This window comes from Homo sapiens, chromosome 2 (assembly GCF_000001405.40).
Source record: "Homo sapiens chromosome 2, GRCh38.p14 Primary Assembly".
NCBI lineage: Eukaryota > Metazoa > Chordata > Mammalia > Primates > Hominidae > Homo > Homo sapiens.
Genome location: NC_000002.12, coordinates 165,188,788 through 165,215,215, shown reverse-complemented (window position 1 = coordinate 165,215,215; position 26,428 = coordinate 165,188,788). Strand labels below are relative to the sequence as shown.

At 35.1% G+C, this 26,428-nt stretch overlaps 1 protein-coding gene across 12 annotated transcripts in view, besides 1 other annotated feature; it reads left to right on the top strand.

Annotated features, from left to right (window-relative positions):
• Window positions 11,166–26,428, top strand: part of SCN3A (sodium voltage-gated channel alpha subunit 3) — a 116,525-nt gene continuing 101,262 nt past the window's right edge. For all 12 annotated transcript variants that reach the window (NM_001081676.2, XM_017004662.3, XM_017004661.3 and 9 more), the window contains exon 1: window positions 11,166–11,393. The gene's annotated coding sequence lies outside the window, so the exon portion shown is untranslated. The remainder of the gene's footprint in view (window positions 11,394–26,428) is intronic.
• Window positions 21,863–21,912: a silencer, noted in NCBI's record as "silent region_12066". NCBI's record gives its function as "represses an Ori minimal core promoter by ATAC-STARR-seq in GM12878 lymphoblastoid cells {active_cell/tissue: GM12878}" and the evidence as "EXISTENCE:reporter gene assay evidence [ECO:0000049][PMID:35858748]".

Below are 26,428 nucleotides of genomic sequence, written 5' to 3'. Positions count from 1 at the left end.
TGTGTACCAGAAAATACATTAGAAAATTTTGGGATACAAGGACAAGTAATATATTAAAGCTTTCATAAAGTTTATAATCTAACAGATGGTCTAAAATATTTAACAATTATAATACACATCTACAGATAATAAATGACAAAAGAGCAATAAAAGAATGTGGTTGGATTTAGAGTAGGGAAAAACAGCTCTTAGAAGTACGGGAAACAGGTAGCATATGCAATGGATTATATAATTTATAATATTTTATTACTTATTGTATTGTGAAAAACAAGCATATTCAAAAGCAGAAAGAACAGTATAATGGACTTATCCCATATGCACTCATTACCAAAATTTTACCAAACTTGATTCATCTATTTGTTTTTCTCTTTCTGAATTATTTTAAAACAAAACCCAGATTTTTATAACATTGCATCCTTATGTTATACAGGATACATTTCCAAAATATACCCTCATTTTTAACATAACACAATACCATTATTACTCATAGCAAAATAAATATAATTCCTTGTTTTTATTTAATAACTAGTCCATATTCAAAATTCCTCTCTTACCTAAAAAATGCCTTTTTCTAGTTGGTTTGTTAGAATTGGATAGTGGATATTTTGTGGAAAGTCATGAATATTAGGTTCAGGAGTTCAATATTGATTTTATTGACTACAGCAGGAGACTGGGGCTTCTTAAAGATTTTGTTTAGGAGAATGGGATATTGAAAATGATGCTCTAGGAAGCAGGCTTGACATCAGTGGGGAATCACTTAGGTCAGAAAATGATTGCAGTATCTCTAGTGAGAGGTCATAAAGATTTCATTCCGGTGGTAGCAGTGCTATGGTGCTGATTAGAGACTTTGTATGATCACCAGTTGATCAGATAAGAAACATGAGAAAGCAGGAGGAAATGAAGACATCTCTAGGTTTTCCATTGTTGTATAATTAGAGTGCTGTAGTTAAATTAGAAACATATGACCATATGAATATTATGACTAAATATTTGTTGGACACTGTGACTGGCACTGCTAAATGCTTCACATGGATTTTTTTTTCATTTAATGCTCAGAAGTCTACAAGGTAAGAATTGGTGTTGTCTTTATTTTAAAGATGCAGAAATTAAGGTTTCAAGTGGTCAAGTAACTTGACCAAAATCACATAGCTGGTGAATTTGGAATAGGAATGTCAGTGGTTACCGAGTTTCATACTTAGAGAAAGGAATTTGATGGATTGGAGAAAAAACAGTGAGCTACTCCATTTCATAGCATCAAGCCTTCAGTGGAAGAAAAATTTCTTTCAGGCACTGTGAACGTAAAAAAGACATACAACAAGATCACACTAGATAGAAAAACTTCCAATGTCCTTCTTAAGGTAACACCCAAAGTATAAAAGGGTAGATAAATCAATAAAAGTAGTTTATGTTAAGTTCATGGTGAAAAAAATCCATTGGCTCTCAGACATGTTATTGATCAGAAGTGCTTAGTTCTAGGTAATGGAGGTAAGAGAGGATGTCAAACTTGATCTGCACCTTGCAAAAAGATAGATTTCAGGCTGGGCAAAGTCAATGGTGTAAAGGCACAGAGGCAGAAGTGAGCAATGGACCATGGATGATCCAAAGTGGCTGGTGGGAGTCATGAATAAAACCATGCCTGAGCAATGGAATGTATTTAATACTTATTATTAAGAATAAGACAAGGTTGTGTTTTTATTATTTGTCAAGCATGATGACCAGTTCAGCTTAAGATTATGTTGAGTTGGTGGTGGTGGCATGGCAGCCAGACAGATGCTTATTATTTGAAGACCCACTACTGACAATCAGAAGATTAAAATTAAGGCTGGAAAAATATTGAGGAATCATATATTAAAAGTCATCCCTGAAGGCACAAGACTAAACAGAGTGCTGCTGGCGCAAATTGTCAAACGTTAGTGAAGAGCTTCCTTTCCTCTCTCCTGCCGTTCCTCTCTTCCTGCCTCCTTCCTTTCTTCCTACTCTCCTTCCTTCCCTTATTTTGTTTTCTTTTTAATAACGGCTCATAGTCAGAGGCATTATGCCACAATTGAAGATTGAAATAATGATTGAAGGTTGGAAGGAGATACAATAATATAAAATAATAGAAAGGATAAGTTTTGAGCAGAAATTGAAGGAAACAGAATCTGGAGCAATGGTAGGGAGAACAGAAACGGAAAAATGATTTCTTCTCTGATGCAAGCTCTTCACCTGGGATCTCTTTTATAAACTACAAATTGGTCTAAATGTCACTGATCATTTCTATTTGGATGTCCCACAAGTAGTTTAAACACAGAAATCCCTGAACTAAATGACTCATCTTCAAAGACACAAACCTGGTCTAGCTAATGTTTACTTATCTTCATGAGTAGCATACAGAGATACTATTTTCTTCAAGTCAAAAGCCTGAGGGTCACCATTATTCCTCCTTCTCTCTCACTGTTCTATCCAGTTTCAAAATCAGGTTTAATGATACCTCCTCAATATTGTGATGGAATTTGAATTTTCACTCTTTTACTATGAAAATATACTTAGTATGAAAACAACTATTATGTTCTATTCTTTGGTATACTTGCAGAATAGAAGATAAATAATTTCCCCAAGCTCTTGTAAGGGTTTGAAGATACAGACACCCATGACAATGATGAAAGGGATATAGTTTTTTAGTTGCCATAGATTTAAATTAAGGATTTAATGAACTCTCAAAGTCTATTTTAAAAAATGGATTTTGGGGGTAGAAGCTGTGTGTCTTGAAGAAGTGGTTGGAGGCAGGAGGGGATGCTCCAGTTCAGAAAAATCTTCCAAATAATGAAAAAAGAAATAGGCCTGTAGGAATCTGAGTAGCAGAGAGCCTGTTTCCTGGAAGACCTCTAGAGAGATAATACTATCTCACCAAAGGACTGCTTCCTGATGTGCGTAAGTAGAAGGGATTTAGCCACCAGTTTCCAACTTCATGGGGAATCACGGCATATCTTACACGGATGTATGAGAGAGGTAAACATATCAATGAAAAACTGAAAAGTAAATTGTTTGGAGAGAAGACTAATGTCATTAGGTAAGACTTGGGAAACTTAATCACTGGTGATGGGAGAGGGGGTCATAAGTTCTAAAATAAATAATTTGGATTTCTTGCCACTTCGTTCGAATGGGGCACCAAAATCTAAATAAAATATATTTGTAGAATATAAGGAAATGTAGCATCTCCTATAAGCCTAGGTTGTGGACTCTGAACTAGGCTTACTACACTGGTCATAGGCTTAAAGTATTATCATATTAATAAGGCCTTCCGTATGATCAACTAACTTAAATCTCAATCCACCACTCCATCAAACATTCTGATCTCTTCAACCAGATTTTAATTTTTACTTGTTTACTTAGCACTAATCACGTTCTGACATTTAATATCACTTACTAATTCATTAATATTATTGTTTATTGTCCACATTTGTGCCACTCCCAAAGCATGTGCTTCATGAAGGCAGGGATCTTTGTTTTGTTCACTGATACATTACAAGCACCAAGAAGAGTTGCTGGCAAAGAGTAGATGCTCAATAATATTTGTTAAATAAATGAATCCTTGTAACCTATGCAAATATATGACAAAAGATTGAGCCCCTCACCTCTACCTTTATACCTGGGTCCTACACAAGACTCTGGAACTTTGATACATTGAGTGGAGGTGCCCTATAGTAATTACTGAAGTTGAAGTTACTGTTGATCTATTATTTTTCACACACATAGATATAGATTAAAATTCATATCTACAACATAAACCATAATATCTTCTAAATCCATATACTTGTGTCCATTTCCGCTTACATTAACTTTTGCATAAGATCATCTTCTCCCAGGTTTATGACAGTAACATTCCATCTCTCTCCATATTTTTCTTCTTAGCCACTTCCTAATAGATGAAGTTTTTAAATAATGTAGTTCTTTGATTCTTTTCTAGCTTTTTCTTCATTAGCACCTCCCAGTTCCCCTGATTCCCCCATGTTCATACTTATCTTAACAGCCCCTCTTTTTGTTCAGAGCTTATGGGAAAGTTGCATTTGTCAATTTACCTTTGTAAAATTAAAAAAAGAGTAGTTATTTTCTGAAATATGAACGTATAATAATTTCCATCATGATTACTCTGATGTTTTAAAACCCTTGATTTTCTCCACTAATAAAGTGCACTTATAAACTGTGAAGGATTTTTTTAGTTGAAATTATCTTTTAAAATTGATAAACTAAATGAAAATGTATTATACATGAAATAAAGCTTTTCAACATATTACGTCTTCGAAATTTAGAAGACGTGGTCTAAGCATGATTTCCTATTTTATTGTTTTAGTATTAAAGAATGCTAAACAACCAATAAAAATATAATATAAGCTGGAAATATGATGCAAGTAAATATTTTCCAAAATAAAAGAGAGCATATTAAATTAAAATTTTAATTCTTTTCATATTGGCCTAATCATATAAAGATTTGGACATAGTTGGCTACTCACATGTACCAAATTTTAGAAGATAAAATGAGAAATTATATAAGGGAAATGCCTGCGTGCTTGCTTATAATTAGCAAAAGGTGTTAGGAACTCATGAAAAAAAAATACATTTTTCCCTTTAGCTTAGATGATCTGACAGTGTCATACTAACAAAGAATGTATAGGGAAAAAAAAGCCTGTTGCTCAGTCACAAAGCCCTAGAGTAGACAGTGTGTGTGCATATGGGTAAACAGATTATCCAGCCATCATTCCTGAGAGAAGCAGAGAGACGTGTATCTCCCAGTACCTGCCCTTATCTGCTTCACACCTGTCTTTTCTGATGAAACTCCATGGTAAATAATGGGCGTTTACAAGCACCTAAGAATATTCAGTCATTTTAATGGATGAATCATTTTCACCTCCTCCATTAATGATGTGTATAGCAGTATGACAGGGAGTACAGTTAAGTTGATACCTTACACTTGGAAAGATCAGGACAAGCTATCAAGTATATTACCCTAATTGCATTTTCAAGAATAAATAGTAGTTTTCCAGATGTTGGAGGGAAATAGGGGTGAGAATGGCAATAAAGGAAAGTAATTTCTAACCAAAGGAATGGCAACTAAAAAGGCATAGTGACCCAACACCTTTGAAAAATTGCTATTACATAGCTGTGCAACTACAGCACAGAAGGTAATCTATACTGGAAGCCACTTGGAAAGTATGTTTTACTCTATTGTTCTTTTATAATACAGGTTAAAATTTTTTAATATTGCTGAATCAAGCACACCTTCTAAATAATATTTGACAGTTATTATATCTGAAATGAGCCCTTGATATAAAATCATATTGTCTAATGCATATATTTTAAACTGGCAATTATCCTGTTTTATTTGGCCAATTTTTAACCATCATGTAATTTTCACATTTCTGTACCAATTTTTCTCACCTGAAAAATCTGAAAATTATCTACCCTTCTCAACTTGTTTAGATGTTTTAAAGGAAGAAGATGTAACAAAGGTAAAAGTGTTTTATTATCTTTTGTCAGGTCATGTATTTCATTGTGTAATTTATGGCATAATATATTAGGCAGTGGGCAAAAGTGAGTTAGTCTCAGTATTTACAATCAGGAGATACAAATCTAAACTAGACTATAGAGGTGTGAAATTGTAGATGACATGTAAATTTTGTTTATTTAACATACATGCAAACACAGTGGTAGTTAACTTTGTTACTAAGATGACTGAAGACAGAAGCATAGAAGCTGAGTATCAGCTTGAATAGGCCTTCTGGCATAAGAGGAATTCCAGGACAGACTCAATTTAAAATAATGATGAATGCCATCCTAGACTCAACTTAAAAAGAGAATAACTTAGAGGTAAATAAGTACAAATAGTATGAAGGTACATCTTTACTGTACTTTTAATGCCTTAAATTTATTTTTTGAAAATTACACTAATAATGCACTTCTTATTACACTAATAAGCATACAAAGTTCAAACAGAACAGATATATACAGATCAAATCCTGGAAATTCCACTTATTTCACCTTTCATTACTTTTTTCTTCCTCAGAGGTGACAACTGTCAAAAAACTCGCCTGTTACTTTGAAATTTGAAGTACAATCCACATGCAAAAAAGTGCATAAATGTTTGGCTCAATGAATTACCAGGAAGTGAATTCCTATATAACTACTACCCAGATTAAGAAATAGGATCTTACTAGTACCCAGAATAGCCCTTATCTCAACCAATCTTGCCAAAAGCTCTATCTTATCTCAAGAGAAACCAATGCTCTTACTTCCAATATTAGAGTTTATTTAACCTGTTTTTATTTTTATCTTTCAAGAATCTGGCTTTGTTGTCCAGGCTGCAGTGAACTGGTATGATCATAGCTCACTGTGGCCTGGAACTCCCTGGCTCAAGTGATTCTCCCATCTCTGCCTCCTGAGTAGCTGGACAGGTGCACACCACCATACCAAACTAATTTTTATTTTTTTCATTTTTTTTGTAGAGACAGGGTCTTGCCATTTTTCCCAGGCTGGTCTTGAACTCCTGGAGGCTCAAGTGATCCTCCCACTTCAGCCTTCAAAAATGTTGAGATTATAGGTTTGAGCCACCACGCCCAGTCCTGTTTTTAAATTTAATAATGTTTTGCTTACATACCTTCTTCGTCCTCAGCCTCAGATTTGTGAAATCCAGCATATTTCTGTGGGTAGCTGCAGTTTTTCATTTTCATGTTAGTATGATACTATAGATTCAGAATACACCACAATTCTTATATCCATTCTCCTGTTCAAGATATTTCTGTTCTTTCTTGTTTGACCTGTTTTCAATAATGCTTCCACAGGCATTCTTGTACACACACACATTTCTGTCAGGTATATGCCTAAGAGTGGCACTTGCTGGCTCACAGAGTAGACTCACGTTCAGTTGGTAATGCCAAACCATTTTTCTAAGTGGTTATACTAGTTTACATTCCTACCTGAAGTCTCTGACAGCTTCTGTAGCTCTAGATTCTCACAAACAGTATGATAAGCCTTTTTAAGTTGTAGCCATTCTGGTGGATGTGGAGTGGCACTTCATTAGTCCAGCAGAACAGTAGTATTCCTCCAATCACTGTCTGGGAAATAATGGTCTAGGAAACAAGAAAATTGGGCCAGAGTCTGGGAATCTTTTGGTAGATCTATGGATGTTACAAAAAGTATTCTTTGGCTATGAAGCTTATAAAATCAAATAGAAACCAGCATTATAGCTCCTACCCACAAAGGCTCTGAAGACCTTGAGTAATCAGAAACAGTAGACATGCACAGAGCAACCTATGAGTCCCAGCTGGAGGCTATTAGCTCTCTTCTAGTGTGAATTTCTGTGATTTATGCATGATATGTTTACAACATATGGTCAGACACCACTAAGGCTCCAGAGACCTTATGTTGGTAATCAATGACTATTTCACCTTAACCCTCTCAGAATCCACTCACTGAAGATTTGCAAACTACCTGTCGTTCTGTCTACAGAAAAAAAGTACGAAAGTCACAATGAAGTTAGAATCATAGCAAATGATACCACACCTCTGGTCACTCTTCCTTTATATAATTTTCTACTTTTAATGACAAGATAAATTAGTTTCTTCAGCAACAAAGAGTAAAGCTCTCTTTGCTGGCATTTATTTATTTTTCTTTTTTTCTATGAGGAATATCGCCACAATAATTATCATTTACTTTTCTTATTTTGTTCAAACCAGTTCTCATTAAAATGTGGCCCAGTATAACCTAAGAAAAATCAGTTCCTCAGAAGACGTCATCAGAAAACTCTTTGGAGCATCTGGATACCCAAAACTGAGTGATAGAATTAATATTCTATTAAATATTACTAGTAATGGTAAAATGAGTGTGGAGCAGTAGGGACTGGCACTTAATGAACATTTAGTTGAGAGACAGTGAGCAGGGCTAGTTTGTTCATGAGTAGAGAAGAAAAAGTTAAAAGTGCCTAGAAAATAGGAATCTTTCATGACAGAAAGTGTACACAATGAAACAATGAAATGTTATAAATTTACACTAAACGTGTGAGTATCAATGATCTAAATTAGTGGAAGCTGATTTCCTTTGTGTTCTTTCAGCATCTGACAAATGCTTGTATTATGAGTGATCTTACCCGATTACAACTGCTTGTGTTGGGATGAGATGTGAGGTGCTGTATTAGTCCATTTTCACACTGCCATAAAGAAACACCTGAGACTGGGTAATGTATAAAGAAAAAGAGGTTTAATGGACTCACTGTTCCACATGGCTGGGGAGGCCTCACAATCATGGTGGAATGTGAAGGAAGAGCAAAGGCACATCTTACATGGTGGCAGGCAAGAGAACGTGTGCAGGGGACACGTTCCTCTTTATAAAACCATCAGCTCTCATGAGACTTATTCATTATCACTAGAACAGCATGGGCAAAACTCGCCCCCATTATTCAATTACCTCCCACCAGGTGCCCCCCATGACATGTAGGGATTATGGGAGCTACAATTCAAGATGATATCTGACAATTCAAGATGATATCTGGGTGGGGACACAGCCAAACCATATCAGGTACTAACTACGTTTTACTTCCCTCACATTTCATTGCTTCTTCACCTGTAAAGTGTGTATAATAATACCTCATATGGGTGAAGTTTAAATGAACATATGTAAAGTGCTTAGAACAATGTCTGGCACATAGTACCAATAAATGTTAGTTTTGTTATTGTTACTAATATTATTAAATGTCTTCATCATTACCTGAGGCTCTTCCCCTACCCTCCCCAATTCTGGCCAGATAGCCAAGGCTATTATTGCCTAAGTGGAATTGTCGTTGGAGATGGACAGAAGAATTGTCAAATTCTTGTGCTTTATATTTAAATTCTTGTGTTAGGGGTTGAATTGTGCCTCCTCTCAAAAAGTTCTAATTCTGAGTAATTCAGAATATGCCCTTATTTTGAAATAGGGTATTTACAGAGATAATCAGGTTAAAATTAGGTTATGAGGGCGGACCCTAAACCAAAGTGACTGGTGTCCTTATAAAGAGGAGAAAATTTGACACAGAGGCATGCACAGAGGGAGGAGTACGTAAAGACAGTGATGCAGGGAGTGCACCATGTAAAGACAGAGACAGAGACTGGAGTTATGCTGCCACAAACCAAGGAACATCTGGGGCTACTAAAAGCTAAGAGAAGCAAGAAAGTATCCTTCCCCTGCAGGTTTCAGAGGAAGCATGATCATGCTGACAACTTGATTCTGGCCTCTGAGTAGCCAGAATTGTGAAAAAAATGATTTCTGTGTCTAAGCCCCTCAGGATGGCAGTTTGTTACAGCAGCCCTAGTAAACTGATACATTAGACATAAGACAAAAAGATTTCAAGGGAAAACAAGTGGCTCCAGCTTACCTTTGGTACAGAAAGAAGAGACCCAAGCAAAAACTCTTTTGAGTCTGTGAAGGAAGTTATGAAGAAGGAAAGGAGTCTCTGATAAGGGCTCCTTACATAGTTTGCCAATCTAGGATTAGCTAAAAAGATGAAAAGATGAGAAGTTTCCATCTATTTACACTATTCTAGTGTGGCAGAGATTGTGCCTCGCTTGCCTGAAGCCTGCAGAGTGCATTACATCCCATGGTTTACAAACAGCAGAACAGAGATGGCTGTGTGAGGCGCCTGGGGCAGGGAGGAAGGCTTAAGTCAGCCAATTACAGCCAAGAGTGACCCTGGGAACATGCTGCTTTTTCTTCTCTCCTCCTAAAGGACAGGAACAAAAGTTTCCTTAGAGGAAGAAGTGACAAAGAGGGGATGCTGCCATGCAAAGCTGGAGGGATGCTATTCCCGGGGCCCAGTGGGCCTGTGGGTACGTTAGTAGATATGAGGGATAATGATGGTCATGGATCATGCAGGACTCCTGGCCTCAGTGGATGCCCATGTGGAGAAAGGGGGAACGGGATCATACTCTGCTTTCTCTATATATGTACACAATCCTGAACTTAGATCAGTCTCCATGAGAAGGAGAGATAGAAGAGGAAAATCATGTATTGGTTGAATGCAAACCCAAAATCATTGGGAAAAGCCTCAAGTAATTTAGTTTACCTGGAACTGACTAGATTTATTTTTCTGCCATTAGACAAAATGGGGGCCACAATTGAAAACGAAGTATGTAATTAACAGTTCTTGAACACATGGCTGGGAAATATGGTATCAGCTATATTTGTTTTTCTTCTTTGTATGAGCTCCTTTATGGCAGGCACTGTGTGTTTCTCTCTGTGTCTTTTCAAGTCTAATATAATACTTGACATCATTTTTGTCCATCCATACAGTTGGTTTGTCAATATGAATGTATTTATTTAATTGATGATAAACTGTAATAAAATCATAGTTGTTTGCTCTAAAGTAGATATGAAAGGTCAGATGAAACAATAACATACATCTGGATTGAGAAATATCTTAATAACTGATGGATTATTTTTATTTTCTTTATGTATTGTGTGCTTCAATATCCTAATAAATAATATTAGCTAGGTTCACTGATGTATAGAATCTTTTTCTACATTTAGATATTTCTTGCAAATGTTTTACCAGAAAGCAACACAAAAATACTATCAGTGAGTATGTGTTTACACTGTTCTCTAAGGAGTCAAATTCCTCACCTTGAAAATAATTCATCCCAGGAAGAGAAAAGGTTTTCAAAAGACTAGAGCAGGCCACAAGGGAGCTTTCGCAAAACTCTACACGTAAAGGGTAATGTAAACTTAAAACCTATTTTTCAAACAGTAATTTATATATCTTTTAATTTTAGTAGTTTATGTGTGAAACAATCATGCAAAACAACAAAGTGATAAAATTTTTTAAAAAAATTAGTGAGATGCAAATAACTGAATATGTAAAAGGTCTCATACATATTTATATGTAGTAGATAAGTTACATTTTTTTAGTGTGTTGGGAAATTTTAGCTCACATCACCTCTCTACTGTCATCTTGGGGCACTTTCATGACTACCCATGCTTCATGCAGGTTTACTTTCCTCCCTGTGACAGAGGATAATGGGAATGTTTTTTCTTTGGCTCAATTTTGTGTGTGTCCGCCAGTAGATGGCGGTACCACTTTGAGTGCGATCGGCCTTTTTTTCTTTCTTTTTTTTTTTCCTCAAAGCTGTTTTCTGATATATGTTGGGTACCATAGAGTGAATCTCAGAACAGGAAGCGGAGGCATAAGCAGAGAGGATTCTGGAAAGGTCTCTTTGTTTTCTTATCCACAGAGAAAGAAAGAAAAAAAATTGTAACTAATTTGTAAACCTCTGTGGTCAAAAAAAAAAAAAAAAAAAAAAGCTGAACAGCTGCAGAGGAAGACACGTTATACCCTAACCATCTTGGATGCTGGGCTTTGTTATGCTGTAATTCATAAGGCTCTGTTTTATCAGGTAAGCTGACAAAACATTTCATTATCTGCACCATAGAACCTAGCTACCAGGTCATTTTCCTTACTTTAAAATCATCTTCATGCTGCTATTTTTAACCCAGTGTTGTTTAAATGTAAATTACAGGAACCAAAGGCATCGTTTGATGTGTAAACTGCTTACTATTTCTTTATCTTTCAAAGAAAATAGAGCCTGTCTGGAAATGGTGATTTATGGTACATACTAGGCATCAATGGTCTTGTGTTTTTGTAGATGCTTATGATTAATTGTATTCAGAAAAAATATTTTTTATTATACTTAAAGCTAGTCTAATGAGTTTCCTGGCTGTATGTCATCTATTTAAATGCCCAGTGTGTCCAGTATTTTTTAAACATAAATGTATAGTGAAATTGGAACTATCATTCTTGTGCTTTAGTTTTTTATTTAACAGCTTTAGAGAGGCCATGCATATAGGGAGTGATAACAATATAGAGGTGTTTGGCTTTGTGAAATACACTATCATTTTTCTCTAAAATCTGTTTTCATAGAGAAAAGAACACCAATACTAACCATTTAAAAGAGGTTGAACCTTCAAAAAATAAAATAATCTCTATATGTTCCATAATATGCTACTTCTTTATCCTTTAATATATTCATTTTATATTAAATGTTTACCTTTTAATTTATTGATTTAAAGATTATTATATATTCTTAATTGTTCTATAAGCTTGATAGATTGCTGTTTTTCTGTATATATTTAATAACTGTTTATTTTTATTAATTACCAGGAAGAACCACTGGAGCCATAAAACAATAATTTACTTTATCTATGATCCATATTGTCTGTAGTTGTATTTAGAATATTCTATATCATAACCATAAATGTTTCATTCAGTTAGCCACCACATAATTAGAATAAGAAATTATTGACAGAAAATCTATACATATTAATTGAAAGATAAGTTTTAAAAATCATACAGGGTTTTAAAATACACAACAGGTAGTATAATGTGGCTTATGAGGACAAAGATAAAGGCATAAGTGCTTGTAGGAATTTGCATGGAAACATTTCATCACATTCACTCCAAATAGAGTGTGCCCTATATGAAATGAAGACTTCTGATTTCAACAGGGCTTCCAGTCAGTACTGGCTAAAAGGGCTTCAAAAATAGAACTTAAGGCCTCCAAACTGTAATTCCTAATGATATGTTGAAAAATATTGACATCTCACTTAATATTTTACATTGAGTAGCAATAATAGTCCCCCCAAAAACATTTCAAAATAGTGGTTGCCTGAGAGGAGAGCCCTGGGTCTTGTCTATTTCAGAAGAATTCCTACCATAGGAGATAAAGAAAACTATTTCTTTGGACAGGGTTCCCAGAAATGGCTGTTAATTAACTTGAGTGTATTGTACACACCATGCTTCTCTACAGGTGACTAAATGTGAGTAACTTTGTTCTGAGTAAGCATCAGAGCTGGTCTTGATTGAACTGGTTTACATTTATGAATGAATGCTTAATTTTGGCCCCAAATGTTAGCTTTTATTTTTCTTGGTATAGTTGCAACAGTCTCTTAGTTATTCATCTATACATGTGGTCGCCATGTGAAAAAGCAAATACACTCAGAGTTCTTCACTTCACAAAATGCGCTCTTTCAAAAATTTCGGAAATTAAACCTGCTTTGATTAAATGATATATCAAACACATTTGAATAACTTACTCTTTAAAAGAATGTAGTGGTGATTTCATTTGTAAAGTTGAGAAAAATGCTGTGATTTATTTGAGTACTGAAGATAAAAAGGTTGAACCCTGAGCTGAAAGTCTTGGGATCTGGTTCATGTTCTGCTACTAGTGAGTTTTGTTGTCTCAGAAAAGACCCCAAGTATCACTGAAGAGCATTTTCCTTGCCTACAAAGGAAGGAAATTAGAATCAAAGCTGTATAAGAATACTTTGTTTTTAAAATTTTCTGATCCTCATTTATTTGGATTTTTCTTCAGTTGGTTTCTCAGCTTAATTAAGATACAACTTTGACTCTCACTGAGTTGTAAATTATGATTGATGTGCTAAACATGAAAGTGGTAAAATAGAGAAATAGGGGCGTTTCTTGGCCAGTTCCTTCTGTAGTGGAAACAAGCAGGAAACAACATGGAGAAGTGGTTAAGAGCAAGAGCTTGGCAGGTTACATTTTATGGCCACTATTACCTGACAAGTTATTTAAACTCTCTGAGCCTTTATTACATCATCTTTAAAATAGGAATAATAATGCCTGTGTTACAGGATTGTGTAACTAAAATAATGTCTGTTCAGTGCTTGGTATAGATCCTGGAACATGATTACGAACCTCCTTCCTCTCTCTCCCTGCCATCCTAACTCACATCAAAAGGAACAGGACAAACATAAAGGCATAAATTTTCATCATTGTTATTATTGTTATCGTTAGTGCTGGTGATATAATATCTTCCACCACAACAGGAAGGATAGAATAAAACTGCCAAATAATTATGTACCTGAAAAGTGAATAATTCTCATCCTGGAAGGATGCCCTTGCTGAAACAACAACAATTGTGTACCTATAATAGTATCACTTAGTGTTAACATTCCAGGCAATTCCTGGAGAGTTTATAGAACTCATAATGCCTTCCAGAAGACAGTTATTTATGCCCAATATGTTATCACGGACTTCAAAACTTTCTTCTTCTTATGAAAATAGAGGCAAAGGGCCTTATTTCACGTTGCCTTAAGAGGATATACCTGTTAGACGAAGTTTCTGTAAAGATTCACAAAGGGAATCTAGGTTTCACCAAAACCACATTTAAACGCCAAGTAATTTCTACTAAGACCACCAGATAACTGAACCTAAATCTCAGGAAAGTCTTTGCTATGTGATCAACTCACAAACTCTCTAATGCTTCAATTCTATTAACGGTACAATAAGATGTGGAAAGGCAAATTGTGCTTGATGAATGGTTGATGGACTGCAAAATCCCTGCTTTCCTCCAAAGGTTGTTTCTAAGTGTAGCTTCGTGCTCCTGACAGCTGTGTGCTACTGGGGTCTTTGGGAGCTAGAACTTGGATGACCTTTCAGCACCCCAGGCCTCCTAATCCTTCCCTTCAACCACCCTAGGCCTCTTTAAACTGACTCAAGTAACTGCGCTGTCAGCTTCATCTTCATGGCAGCCAAGATGACTTAATGGACTCTTGATTAGGCAGATCTGAGAGGGCTAAGAGCTTGGGAGGCTTAAAAATATGAGGGTAGTGTTTCTCAACTAGACAAATGCGGTGCTTGGAATTTGTTGCTCATCTGTCTCTCAGTTCTAGGTCACTCCCAGCTCTTACGAGTTCTTATCTTTAGGGTTGATGATAACTAAAAGCATCCATAAGAATAAGCATTTAAAGATTTTTTTTCACCAAGAAATTAACACTTGATTATATAGTGATATTTCTTTACATAGGTAGCTGTGAAGATTACTTTTTTCTGATTTTCATTTATGTATAGAAACATGAACTCACTGAAGGTTGGGAATTCATGTTTCATTTGTCACCTAAAAATATATTATTCATTCGCACCTTAATATTAATGGTTGTTTTACCAGTTTTCCAAAACTGTGAGGATTAATTACCCACCTACCAGTGAAATATAATTACTTAACTCTATTTCTGTACTTTTAGGTTCGTTTTAAATTTTCGATTAATTTTAATTCTAACTGCTTTCATTTTCAAAATGTCATGCTTACGTTTTACCTTATAAACAACTTTCATGGCAAATCCATATAGAACCTGACATCTGAATTACTTCTTGAGGTAGACTGAACAATTGTAACTTGAGGTAGTTAGAAAATTTGGAAGAAAGAAAATCATATTCTTGCTTTATATTGTCGGTTCACACATTTATCTTTGATTGAGAAGCTACTGTTTTAGTTCAGCTTTACCTGAAAATATTTTTCCCTCTGGGATGAAATTAACACATTCTTTGTTTATATTTTAATGGGATGTAACAAGTGCAGACACCTATTTCGGAGCAGAATAGTGTTTCCTCTTAATAATACAGCAATAAATAAAATCTTGCTCTTTTACTAAGCACAGACATACTTTGTTTTATTAACTTCCTGATAGGCACCAGCTCTTTGGATACCTAAAATCTGAATCTACATCAGAAATATAATTTGTTAAAGTAGAATAATTCTTTAAAATTTATATGAATACCTACTTAACTGGATACCACAAGTTTCAATGTGCCAAGTATTTTTTTTTTTTATTACTTTTTTTAATATCCCACTTCTTTCCTGTAAGGATTTGAAATGATAAAGGACATTCTGGAAAGAACTTTAAAGAAGGTTTTACCCAAGATCTATGAATAAAGAACAACTGAAAAGTAACTTGCAAGCAAGTTTACAATATTAAAATACAGCACATGTAAACATATGCTGGGTGTGGTTGTATAAATGAATTTTCAGGGGTTTTAGTTCAGAGAAACCTTATGAAATCTGGAGTTATTTCTGTAAGAATTGAATTAGGTTTTCATTTTTTTGGAGACTGCATATAGGGAGCCCTTCATGTGATTAAACTCTGTGCTGGAGCAAAGTTAGAGAAATGATGGTCCCTTAATTATTAAATAGTGGTTTAATATTGTTTTATTCAATGGGTGAATTCAAAGTCACTCTTTAAATAACTTTGACCATTTTCTGCCAAGAAGCTCCCTTTTGGGAATTTTAATCTCCTGATTTTCAGAATATACTTTATTCTTACTTTGGTTGTACAGAACATTTTGTCCTTTTCCTTTCCCAAGAAAGAGCTTGAACTGGAATAATTCACTAAATTCCAATTCATATTTCTAACAAGTGACATTGCGCTTCTGGTCTAGAGTCCAACATATTCTTGCATAAGGTTTAATAGGACACGTTTTGTGGGCTTAAGCCTCTATTTGAGGACTAGTCACCTGTTTGTTAGTTTCTCTGTCTCCTTGGTGTTTCTGCTTGTGACATTTATTTTTCTCCATATAAGTTGTTTTTATTATGCCTAACTAAACATGTTCCCAAGTACTCTGAGCATTTTCTTTTCATGGAATTTATATAATGGTTGGTCATGACCTTAAATAATAAATTCTAGAAGAAACGAACATAAATTCCTGCATGGGCAAAGTAGGTAAGAGAAAGCAGTAAAGCCATTCATGTTGGGCCTGAGGAACTAGAAAGTGAATGCATGCCCTTTTTAAAATGGAAAACGCCTTCTCACTGCTAGGAGACTGTTACATCAAATGACTTCCCTGAAGAAGCTGAAAAATCCAAATTGTTAGTAAATATTTCCCTCTGTTGTTAAATGGAATCATCTATTTCAAATTATTTATAATACCAGATAGATTCAATAAAACACATGTGTAGGCAGGATCTGGCCAAGGAATTGCAAGGTTTCTTTTTCTCCTTTTGCCAATCTAACCAGTATTTTCGCCAGTTGGGGAAAATAAACCGCATGGAGAGGAAACCTCTTGACCATATTTAGAAGCACAGCTACATTGGCACTCAGATTCCTTTTCTCCTAGTCTAGGCTCAGTCTGTTTCATTTCAAATCCTTGAATCTATGCATTACCTTCTTGATTTCTAGTTTTCTTCCCAATATTAACATCATCACAATACTTAGCAGCATTGATTCTTTTTTTTTCTTTTTTTTCTATTGCTATTTTCTGTTGCTAGTGATATCTTGTTTCTGCTATGTTATTTGTTGCAATATGTAATATTCCCACTTCCACTCTGTTCTTTAAATACTATTGAAATTTGTTTTTAAAGTTTAAAATTTAGGGCAAACACATTGCCGTCCTTTACCTCTGAAAGGGAAAAATACTGTTGATATGATATATACATGTCCTTGAGACCTGTATGGTCTCAAAATTCTAAACTGTTTTATTGTCTTTTGTCATAGCCAATAATAACTACATTTAAAATAAATCCTTCCTTAATATCCGTTTTTGACAATGGCCTTAGTTTCTACTATTGATCTTTTTATATTTATACCAAAAATTAATGTAAACTATTAAATTAGCTTTGGAAGAACAGGCAAAAATATAATTCACCATCATATTGTGTTCTCTTACACTGACATAAAGCATGAATAGTATGGGATAAGAATATAAATCAAATATATATACCTGGAATGAGAACTTCTTGGCCAGTAAATAGGAGGTAAAAAAGAAAAAAGCAAAATGAGAAAAGAAAAAAATAGATTTATAGGACCTCACCAATAAAAATGTCAGGAGAAAAAAAAAAAACACAGCTAAAGAGAAAGAGATATGCAAACATACTGAAAGAAAACAAAAAGGGGTAGAACATTAACAGCTTATTCACAGAGTGGCCCACAGCTGTGGATGCACATTAGAATCATTTGGAAAACTTAAAAAAGAGCAATGCTTGGCTCCACCTTCAACCAATTCAATCAGATTCTCTGAGGCGGAATCTGGGTATCAATATTTGCTTAAAAGCTCTGCAATTGTAGTTCAAATGTGTAGCCAGGTTTGAAAACCAATTGACTAGAGAAAGACAAAGAAAAATAACAGAAGCCAATGAAAACTTGGCTAGGGAAGTGAAAGATAGTTGACAAACGCTTTTCAAAATAATTTCAAAGTGCTAACCAGCGGGCATGTGTTAAGTAAAGATATTATGCAAATACTTAAGGAAGCAACAAAAAATACACTTGTGTCCATTTCTCCCTTGGTTGAACACACTGGCATTTATTTATGTGTTTAAATAATTTTACATTTGAAATTGTTAATTTATTATCCCAATGATATTTGAAAGTTGATTCAGCTACTGGTTATGGTATATTTTGCAAGCTAACCATACAAACAATGTACACATTTGGAGCTGAGCATCCATAACTTTAAGTTTGTACAACTATACATTCACTCACTGATTTATTTCTTACTTACAAATTGCTATCTGGAGAACTAAATCTTGAATAATCGAATAAGAGTAGGTCTACTGAAAGATATTCTTTGAATCTCCAAATCACCAGTTGGAAGCAAAACACTTTGATTTTTAATTTTTTAAAAGTGCAATTTAGGCAGATCTGGAGGAAAGGCAGATTCTGTAAACGAACATATTTTTTAAAGCCAAAATGCATTTTAAAAGATATTTTCAGAAAATGGCATATCTGAGAAAGAAGTGAATTAATCTAATAGTGGAGCGAAATTAATAATTAATTGCATTTCTTAAAAAGAATCTCATTCCTAAGATGAGTCAGCTTTTAAGGAGACATTTCCTGGGTTAACACCCCAGTTGCTGTTCCGGATTGGTTTCCCACAGCTGGGTAGGAGACATAGAGGGCAATCCTCTACAGGTCCTTCAGAGAAGATTATATCCTAAAGTCTTTTCCCTAGAGGATCATCATTTAGTATTAGTATTTAACTATGCTTTCTTCACCCATCTCTAACATTCTGCCAACGTGGTCAGTAAAATGATTATCATAACAGAAAATATCTGTTAAATCTCAAGATGAGAATATCCACATTTTGAGGCAGGTCGCTGGTGCTTCTGTAATAAACAGAAGAAATACTGGCCAAGGAATTGCAAAGTTATCATGTTCGAGGCCAGGGTTATGATGAATGTGTGTGACACAGTGCTTGTGTCCTCCCATTGGGATTGGATCATTTATTTAAAAAAAAAAATCCAACCTTTATACACAAAGGATTTGGGAAGTCTGCAATGAAAATATAAATAAGAAACCAATGAGATATTGATAAGAATGAAAGCCTGAACCAGGGGAGGAATGCTTTTATGAAGAAGGGTCACCTTAAATAACACAATCAGTGCAGAGGGGGAATAATTTATGGTTGATATAACCATTCCCCTCTACCAACATGATGACAATTGTAAGAACTAGCTAGATTCTTTTGAGGAAACATTCCAACTCCTTATTCAAAAGCACTTTGAACATTTTGAAAAGGAAAGGGTAAAGCATGAAGGTAAATGAAAAGTGGCAGAGCACATCCAAATCAAGATGCAGATTTTCATGCAAATAAACACTAGAGTTAAGATACACCATGAAAACAATAGTCAGCTCCCTCTTATGCATTGGTAAGGAATGGTTTTCTACTCAGTATCTTAAAATTATCCTGTCATTGTAAGACACCTTTCTTTTAAATATCCCATTAAATCTATGATAGTGGTGCCAGTTCAGAAAACACTGTGAGATCAATTTAATCAGAAAATAATACACTTCCTCCTCTCCCCCAACAATACACATCCCTCAAGAAAGCTAAATTTGGGAAGTTTCACACTTAACAAAATAGTTTCTATTTATTCTCTCAATTTATTTCTCAATAAAAATTTTGAAGACAGATATTTAAGACATTCAATAGGGCACTCGATGTGGGAACTCAATACTTTCTGATAGACTTTTCTGTAAACCTAAAATTGTTCTAAAAAAAGTCTGTTAATTTTTAAAGAGGAGTGACACTTGAAGAATGAGTGAACTCAATGTCTGATTTTGCACTGGCAATTTTATCAGGATCCTGAATCCTCCATGTCCTTGAGGAGACAGCTCAGGTGGCACACCTGGCACACGGCAGGGCATCTCTCCCTCCTGGCATCTTCCCTCTCACCTCTTCTTAGGTTTCTCCTCAGGATTACTGCCCTCACTAGTCAGTTTCTTACTTACCAGGTCCTCTATCCTCTGGAGGGTGAAGACAGACAGACCACGCCAGTCTTCAGCAGTTTGGTTGCTACAATCCCTGTTTAAAACAAAATTTTTTATCATATATAATTTTCTCTTACCTGTGGAATTCTGGATCTCCTTTAGCCTCAAAAGAATTGAGCACTGAACAGCATCCCCTTCCTGTCCTTATGTGCAGAGACCTTTTACTCTGCATTCCCCGCTGCAGTAAGTGGCATCATCCACACCTAAATCAGGGCAGTGCACACAGTCCTTTGCTCTATTTTGGTGCCAATGATGTGCTCGGAGCCTGAAGGAAAAACACAGATTCTCTGGGTCCTGAATTCAGATCCCAGGAAAGACTTTTTTTTTTCATCTTTTCTTTATTTCAAAGGGCCCTTTTTGGGGGAGATATGGTCAAGTGACTGGTCATATTTCACTGAAAACCAGACTTAAAGTTTTCTAGGTTTTTCTTTTAACTGCAATTTGTATGGAATTTCTCAGTAGGAGATTTTTTATATTACCATTTCATGAAGATGTCATGTGTACAAAATTGAATATCTAGAGTTAGAAAGGATTCAAGGGATAGTTCTTTTCAGCAACTGATCTTCAAGTTATATTCTACTCAAGGCATTTATATTATTTATCAAGAAACAGTTTAAATTTGGGCTGCAGAGGACCTATGCAAGCATCTAGTTCACTAAAGTCTTCTAAAAATGAATATATCCTCTAATAGATGTGACACACCTACCTCAGGAACATGATTTATATAAGGTTTAGTGACCCACGTTCAGGGTATAAGGGTATTGCTATACCCTCAGAAGTTTCTCTCAGAAGGGACAAACATTTGGAGTAAGCCTAGTACAGAGTCCCAAAGTCTGGACACTGAACTAGAGTTTTAGTGATAAAAGAGGTACTACAAATTAACTGGTCAATTTCCCACCTCTCCCTTCTTTTTTACTCACATAAACACGAAACATCTGAGATCTCATGTGTTCAATATATCACACAAGTGACAGCAGAGACAAGTCTAGAATAGTTTGTCTGATTTGCAACTTGTATATCTCTCCTTCTGTTTTCCTCTCTCTTATCTTTTCATTAAATCTCATTTCTAATAAAGATAGGGCAGGGGCATGTTTTTCTAGTATATTGCATTATCTTCTGAGGCACCATCTTGGAGTGATCCACTGTGTAACATTATAACTGTGTATCTAAGGGGCCTGCTTAGTGGGGAAGGCCTCTTTATGTGATTGGTTTTTTGCTGATGAAGAATCAAATGGCAGCTGAACTTCAGACACACCTAAATCATCCTGTGCTCCAGTGTGGTTTACCATTTGCACCCATCTGAAAGCAGTGATTAAAACCTCTTTGCTCTGAGCTAGACAAATCCCAATCCTCTGTATTTTAAATCTCAAAGGAGCGCAGATAACATGTGGAGTAGTCAACACCGCCATCTTGAAGTAATGTAAGTCATACCTCAAGTTCCCAGTTCTCAATTTTCCTCAGGTTGCCAAGTGAAAAAGGCAATCGACTCTCAACACTCAGTTGTGAAAACAGTGGGCTGTCATTTTGATTACAGTCAGTAAACAGTCTGTGTTTGCCTGGAAAGAAACTGCCTAAAGCACATGGTACCAGCAAGCAGTAGGAGACATGTGGCTGAGGGCAACACATAGGGCTGTCTATTATGGCTGATGTTGGGGTAGGAAAGGGATCAAGGATTGTTCAGAGAATGCTGTTTGCTTTATATTTGTCATGTTGCCAATGTACTTCAAAATAGAAAGCTTCCTGTAATGCTGTTATATTCTGATTTGCATGTGGTTTCTGCTCCACTGCGCACACAGAGAGAGAATGTTCACTTATGGACCAAGTAGCTTTTTCACTATGGTGTTTCTTAGACCAAAAGACAAAAGCAGCAACCTGACTACATAAAATAGAAAAACTATTGATCCAGAGACAGCCCCCTCCCCCATGTAGAACATCTCAGAATAAGGGATTCGCCTCTTGCTTAATTCATGCATTTGTTCATGGGTTTGATCCCTTGGAGGAGAGTGATGGAGTAGGGAACAGGTATATCTGAAAAAAGCACAGTGCGTTAGAAATATAATGAGTCCCATGTATGTAATTTTAAATGTTCTAGATTTTAATATCAAAAAAAGAAAACAATAAGATTGATTTTATTAATGATATATTTTGTTTAAGATGATATGTCCTAAATATCATTTTGAAATTTGGCACCTACCCACATTTCAAATGCTCAGTTCCTCATGTGGTCAATGGCTACCACGTTGAACAGAATGTTTGCAAGATTTGTTTGGGCAATTGTATCCACCATATATCTGATAATGCCCTGCTTACTGTGGTAGGTAGTCAATACATCCTTCTCCTCAAGGAATTTAATAATAAATGTAGAAGCAATAAGGCACATCTTCAATAACAACAGAAGATAGAATATATATAATTACTGTAAAAATTTTAGTAGGATTTTAAGAGGTGACAGTTGGTGGTCAATGATATTTCAGACAGCGTGAACATTTTTGAACGCCAGATGTCAGAGGCTGAGGTCTTTTAAGGAATGGAAATATACAGAGTATGTAAGATGTAGCTGGAGAGGTTCATTGGTAAGATCATTGTAGAGAGGCTTTGATTAATTTTCCCAAAGAAAAAATTATAGAATTTGATGGCAACATTTACTAGTCATGTGACCTTGGGCAAGTTACTTGTCCCCTCTGAACATTATAGTTTTCTTATCTAAAAAATACAAACAACAATCATGTTTATCTTATATATTTGTTATGAATATTAAATGAAGTAATCAGTCCCTGATAAGTGACCAGTGCTTAATCACTGTTCTCTATTATCATTCTTACTTCCTAAGATATTTTAGAGTGGGAAATACTTTAGGTAAAGTATTCAGTCTTCAATTTGCTTTGTTTTCAAGAGAGTCTAGTAAACTTGGCATAGTTATATAATTATTTTTGAGGTAAAGAGGATTGTAATGTATGTATTTTGATTTAGATTAAATAAGGCTACATAATTAATAAATATAGTGCCTATAAAGTTTGACTTTGTTTTTCCTATATTGAGTCCTTTTATGTTTTATCATCTTAATATCTATATAATACAAAACAAAGTTATCTGATTTACTTAATCAATACCCCATTAGTGGATGGTTTCATTTTTTCTAGACATTGCTATTATAAAATATGTTGCCATAAATAGAATATGTGAGTTTCTAAAGATTGGGCTGAATTTCCAAATAATAAATCTAAAAAAAAAAACTACTAAATTTTTCAGAAACCAAAATTAAATAATTCATTGATTTAAAAAAGTATTCATTGAGCACTACTATGTGCGTGTACTGTTCTAGACACATGAGATTCATTGGTGAAAATAGACCCCAAAAAGGCAAATATTCCAGCCCCTGTGCTGTTTCTGTGCTATCCAGGAGAGACATAAAATGAATAATAAACATTATAAGTAAGTTATATAGTACCTAACAAAATGATAAGTGACTTGGAAACATCAGAGCAGGGTAAGAGATTAGAGGAGAAGTGTGAGCAGGTCTCTTTAAGACAGTAAACTTTTGGCCAAGACTTGAAGGAGATAGAAGAGTTAGTCATTCAGCTTCCTAGAGGAAGAGCATACTGGAATAAGGGAATAGTCTGTGTGTGCTTCCAGGTACAGAGGACAGCTGGAAGCCAGTTAGGCTACAGAGAACTGAGGGAGGAGGAGAATAGAAGGAGGTGCCTTCCACTAGATAACCAAAAGGTCAGACAGATTATAAGGCCTTTTAGGCAATTGTAAGGATTTGGGACTTTTTTTCTGGGTAGCTTCTGGGGGCTTCTGAGCAGAGGAATGATATGATTCGATTTCTATGTTCTCAAATCACTCTGACAGGCAAGGTAAAAACAGGCTATATGGGAGTCAGGCTGGCAGCAGGGAGACTGAAAGCAATTGCAGGCTTCTGTGTAATACTGCTGTAAATCATTTCAAGGTTCCAGGTGCAGCGAAATTACACCATAGGGCATCAAATGAATAAATAAATGAGACTGAAGAAGCTATGATTGTCATCTTTAAGAAACTGCAAAAATGAAAGTGATATGCCCAGTATACATGTTTCTAACCTGAAAAAAAAAAAAAAAAAACAACGTAAAATCCTGGATTCAATAAGCTAGGTATTGTCAAAGTGTGGTTCCTGGGCTGGCAACATCAGCATTATCTGTGCATTTGTTAGAAATGCAAAATTGGGTCCCAGCCATATATACCTGGGGTGGAGCCCAGAAAGCTGTGTTTTAACAAGAAGTTAGCCCGGTGATTCTGATGCTAAATTTTGAGAACCACTGCTTTAAACTAGGTTGATGAAACTAGATGGCCTGAAAGATTATTTTCAATGTTAGGATACAGTGCTTCCAAGTTCATTTCTTAATATTTATTTTTATTATAAAATTAAGTATAGTCCTTGAGAAAAAAATGGTTTATAAGAAGTATAGAATCATGCTAAAGAATGAAAAAGCCTTTTAAATCACATAGAGGAACTTGATTTTTATTTATTATATCTCACCTCTTCTAAAAAGTGATGCAAAGTTTTATATATATATATATAAAGTTATATATATATAAAGTTTTATATAAATATAGTTATATATAAAGTTATATATAAATATAAAATGTTATATATATAAAGTTATATATATAAAGTTATATATATATATCTTTGTGCAATAGGAATCTCAAGACAAGGAAAATGGAGAAAATGTATGTGATACATCTGTTAAGGACTGTAGGCTAATGAATTTACTCTTTCAAAATGTACACTTAGCTCTCAGCCTCCTGAGCTCAACATTTTTAAAGGAAGAAATGAATTTTATACAACACAAAGAAAGAAAGAAGTCTCAGACTTTAAGTTAACATGAACCACCACGAAGGTGATCGAAGTTACTACAAGGAGAATCTCTGGAGCTCCCCAAGAACTGAATGGACAACTTGGCTTCCTAGACAACATTTCAATATTTCACCCTCTAATATCTTGGTGATTTGCCCATTTGAAGTTACCTCTTTCATAGGGACCTGAAGTCTTAAAACCAAGTGAGCAGATGGTAATTGAGACTGTTACCTCATCACAGAGGTTGAAAAGCCAACCACATTCCCACCTAGATGGAAAGCTGTCCCTTCCTCATGGCAAAGCTTGTGAGTTCCTCCATGACCACCTTTGGATCTGCTTCTGTTCTTGTGCAAAATGCTGAACAGCCAGAATTTTACAGCCTACTGCATGACACAAATGGTTGTAACCTGAAAAATTCTTAAGCAGGTATATCATGTCATCAGTATAAAGGAAGATAAAAACAATTGAAAGAAAATAAAGTTGCTTCCATGGCCAGAGATAAAGAGTAAAGATGCAAAATGATGCTAAAAAATAATGGAGCCATAGTAAGACAAAAATTTTACAACACTGGGAACTAGAAGATCTTAAAGGATAAATAAATTTTCAGGATAAACTAAAATAACCACAAAAGAGGATACAAACTTGCCTCTAGAATATTCAATTGTTGATATTAGCATAAGCATTAATAACAATACTAAGTAGAAACGGGTTAAGAAAAATAAAATTAAAGATTTAATTTGTCTAAGATTCCTCAGCTGGTGACATCTAGCATTTTTAGGGTAAAATTTCTATCATGCTGTTTGAGCTATCACTTCCTTATTTGAAAACCAAAGAATTTCTCCTAAATTACTAAAATGCTGAAATTTTATTAAGATAATTTCAAATGCAGGCTAACCGTTTTTGGGGGATTTCCAGATCCAATAAATGTATTAGGTCATCTGAAAGCAAAGTTTCTGGACCATCTTATCTCATCACCTTCTAAATGAAATTCACTTAGTTTAACTAATTGCAACCATCAGAGAAAGACTTTTTTGCATCTTGTACACATCTGTGCAAAATAAAATTTAAGATGTCTGTTGAGCATGTTGCCTCATGTCCTTTATACTATATCCTAAACAAAATTTCCACCCTTCAGTTTAGTTCTTGAAAAATGTTTGCTTTTTATATACAACTTTTAGGAAATGTGTTTGTTTTGTTTTTTCCTAAAATAGAACAAAATTCATGTGATCCAATATGCTTCAATTTTTTCTTAGTTACTGGGGACATTACACCAAAATTCCAGGCTTGATTGCCAAAAGCACTCAGATCATATTCTTTACTCATTCCTTTAGTTCATCCTTTCTCAAATAGTCATCCATGCATCGCTTGCACAAAACTCACTTAGGGAGTGTATTAAAAATGCAGATCCCTCGACCCTACCTCAGACCTACTTTTTGCAGAATCTCCAGAAATTGAATCCAGAAATCTGCATCTTTTACAAGTAGCACAAGTGATTCTTTTTTTTTTTTTTTTTTTTTTTGAAGTGGGGCGGATGGA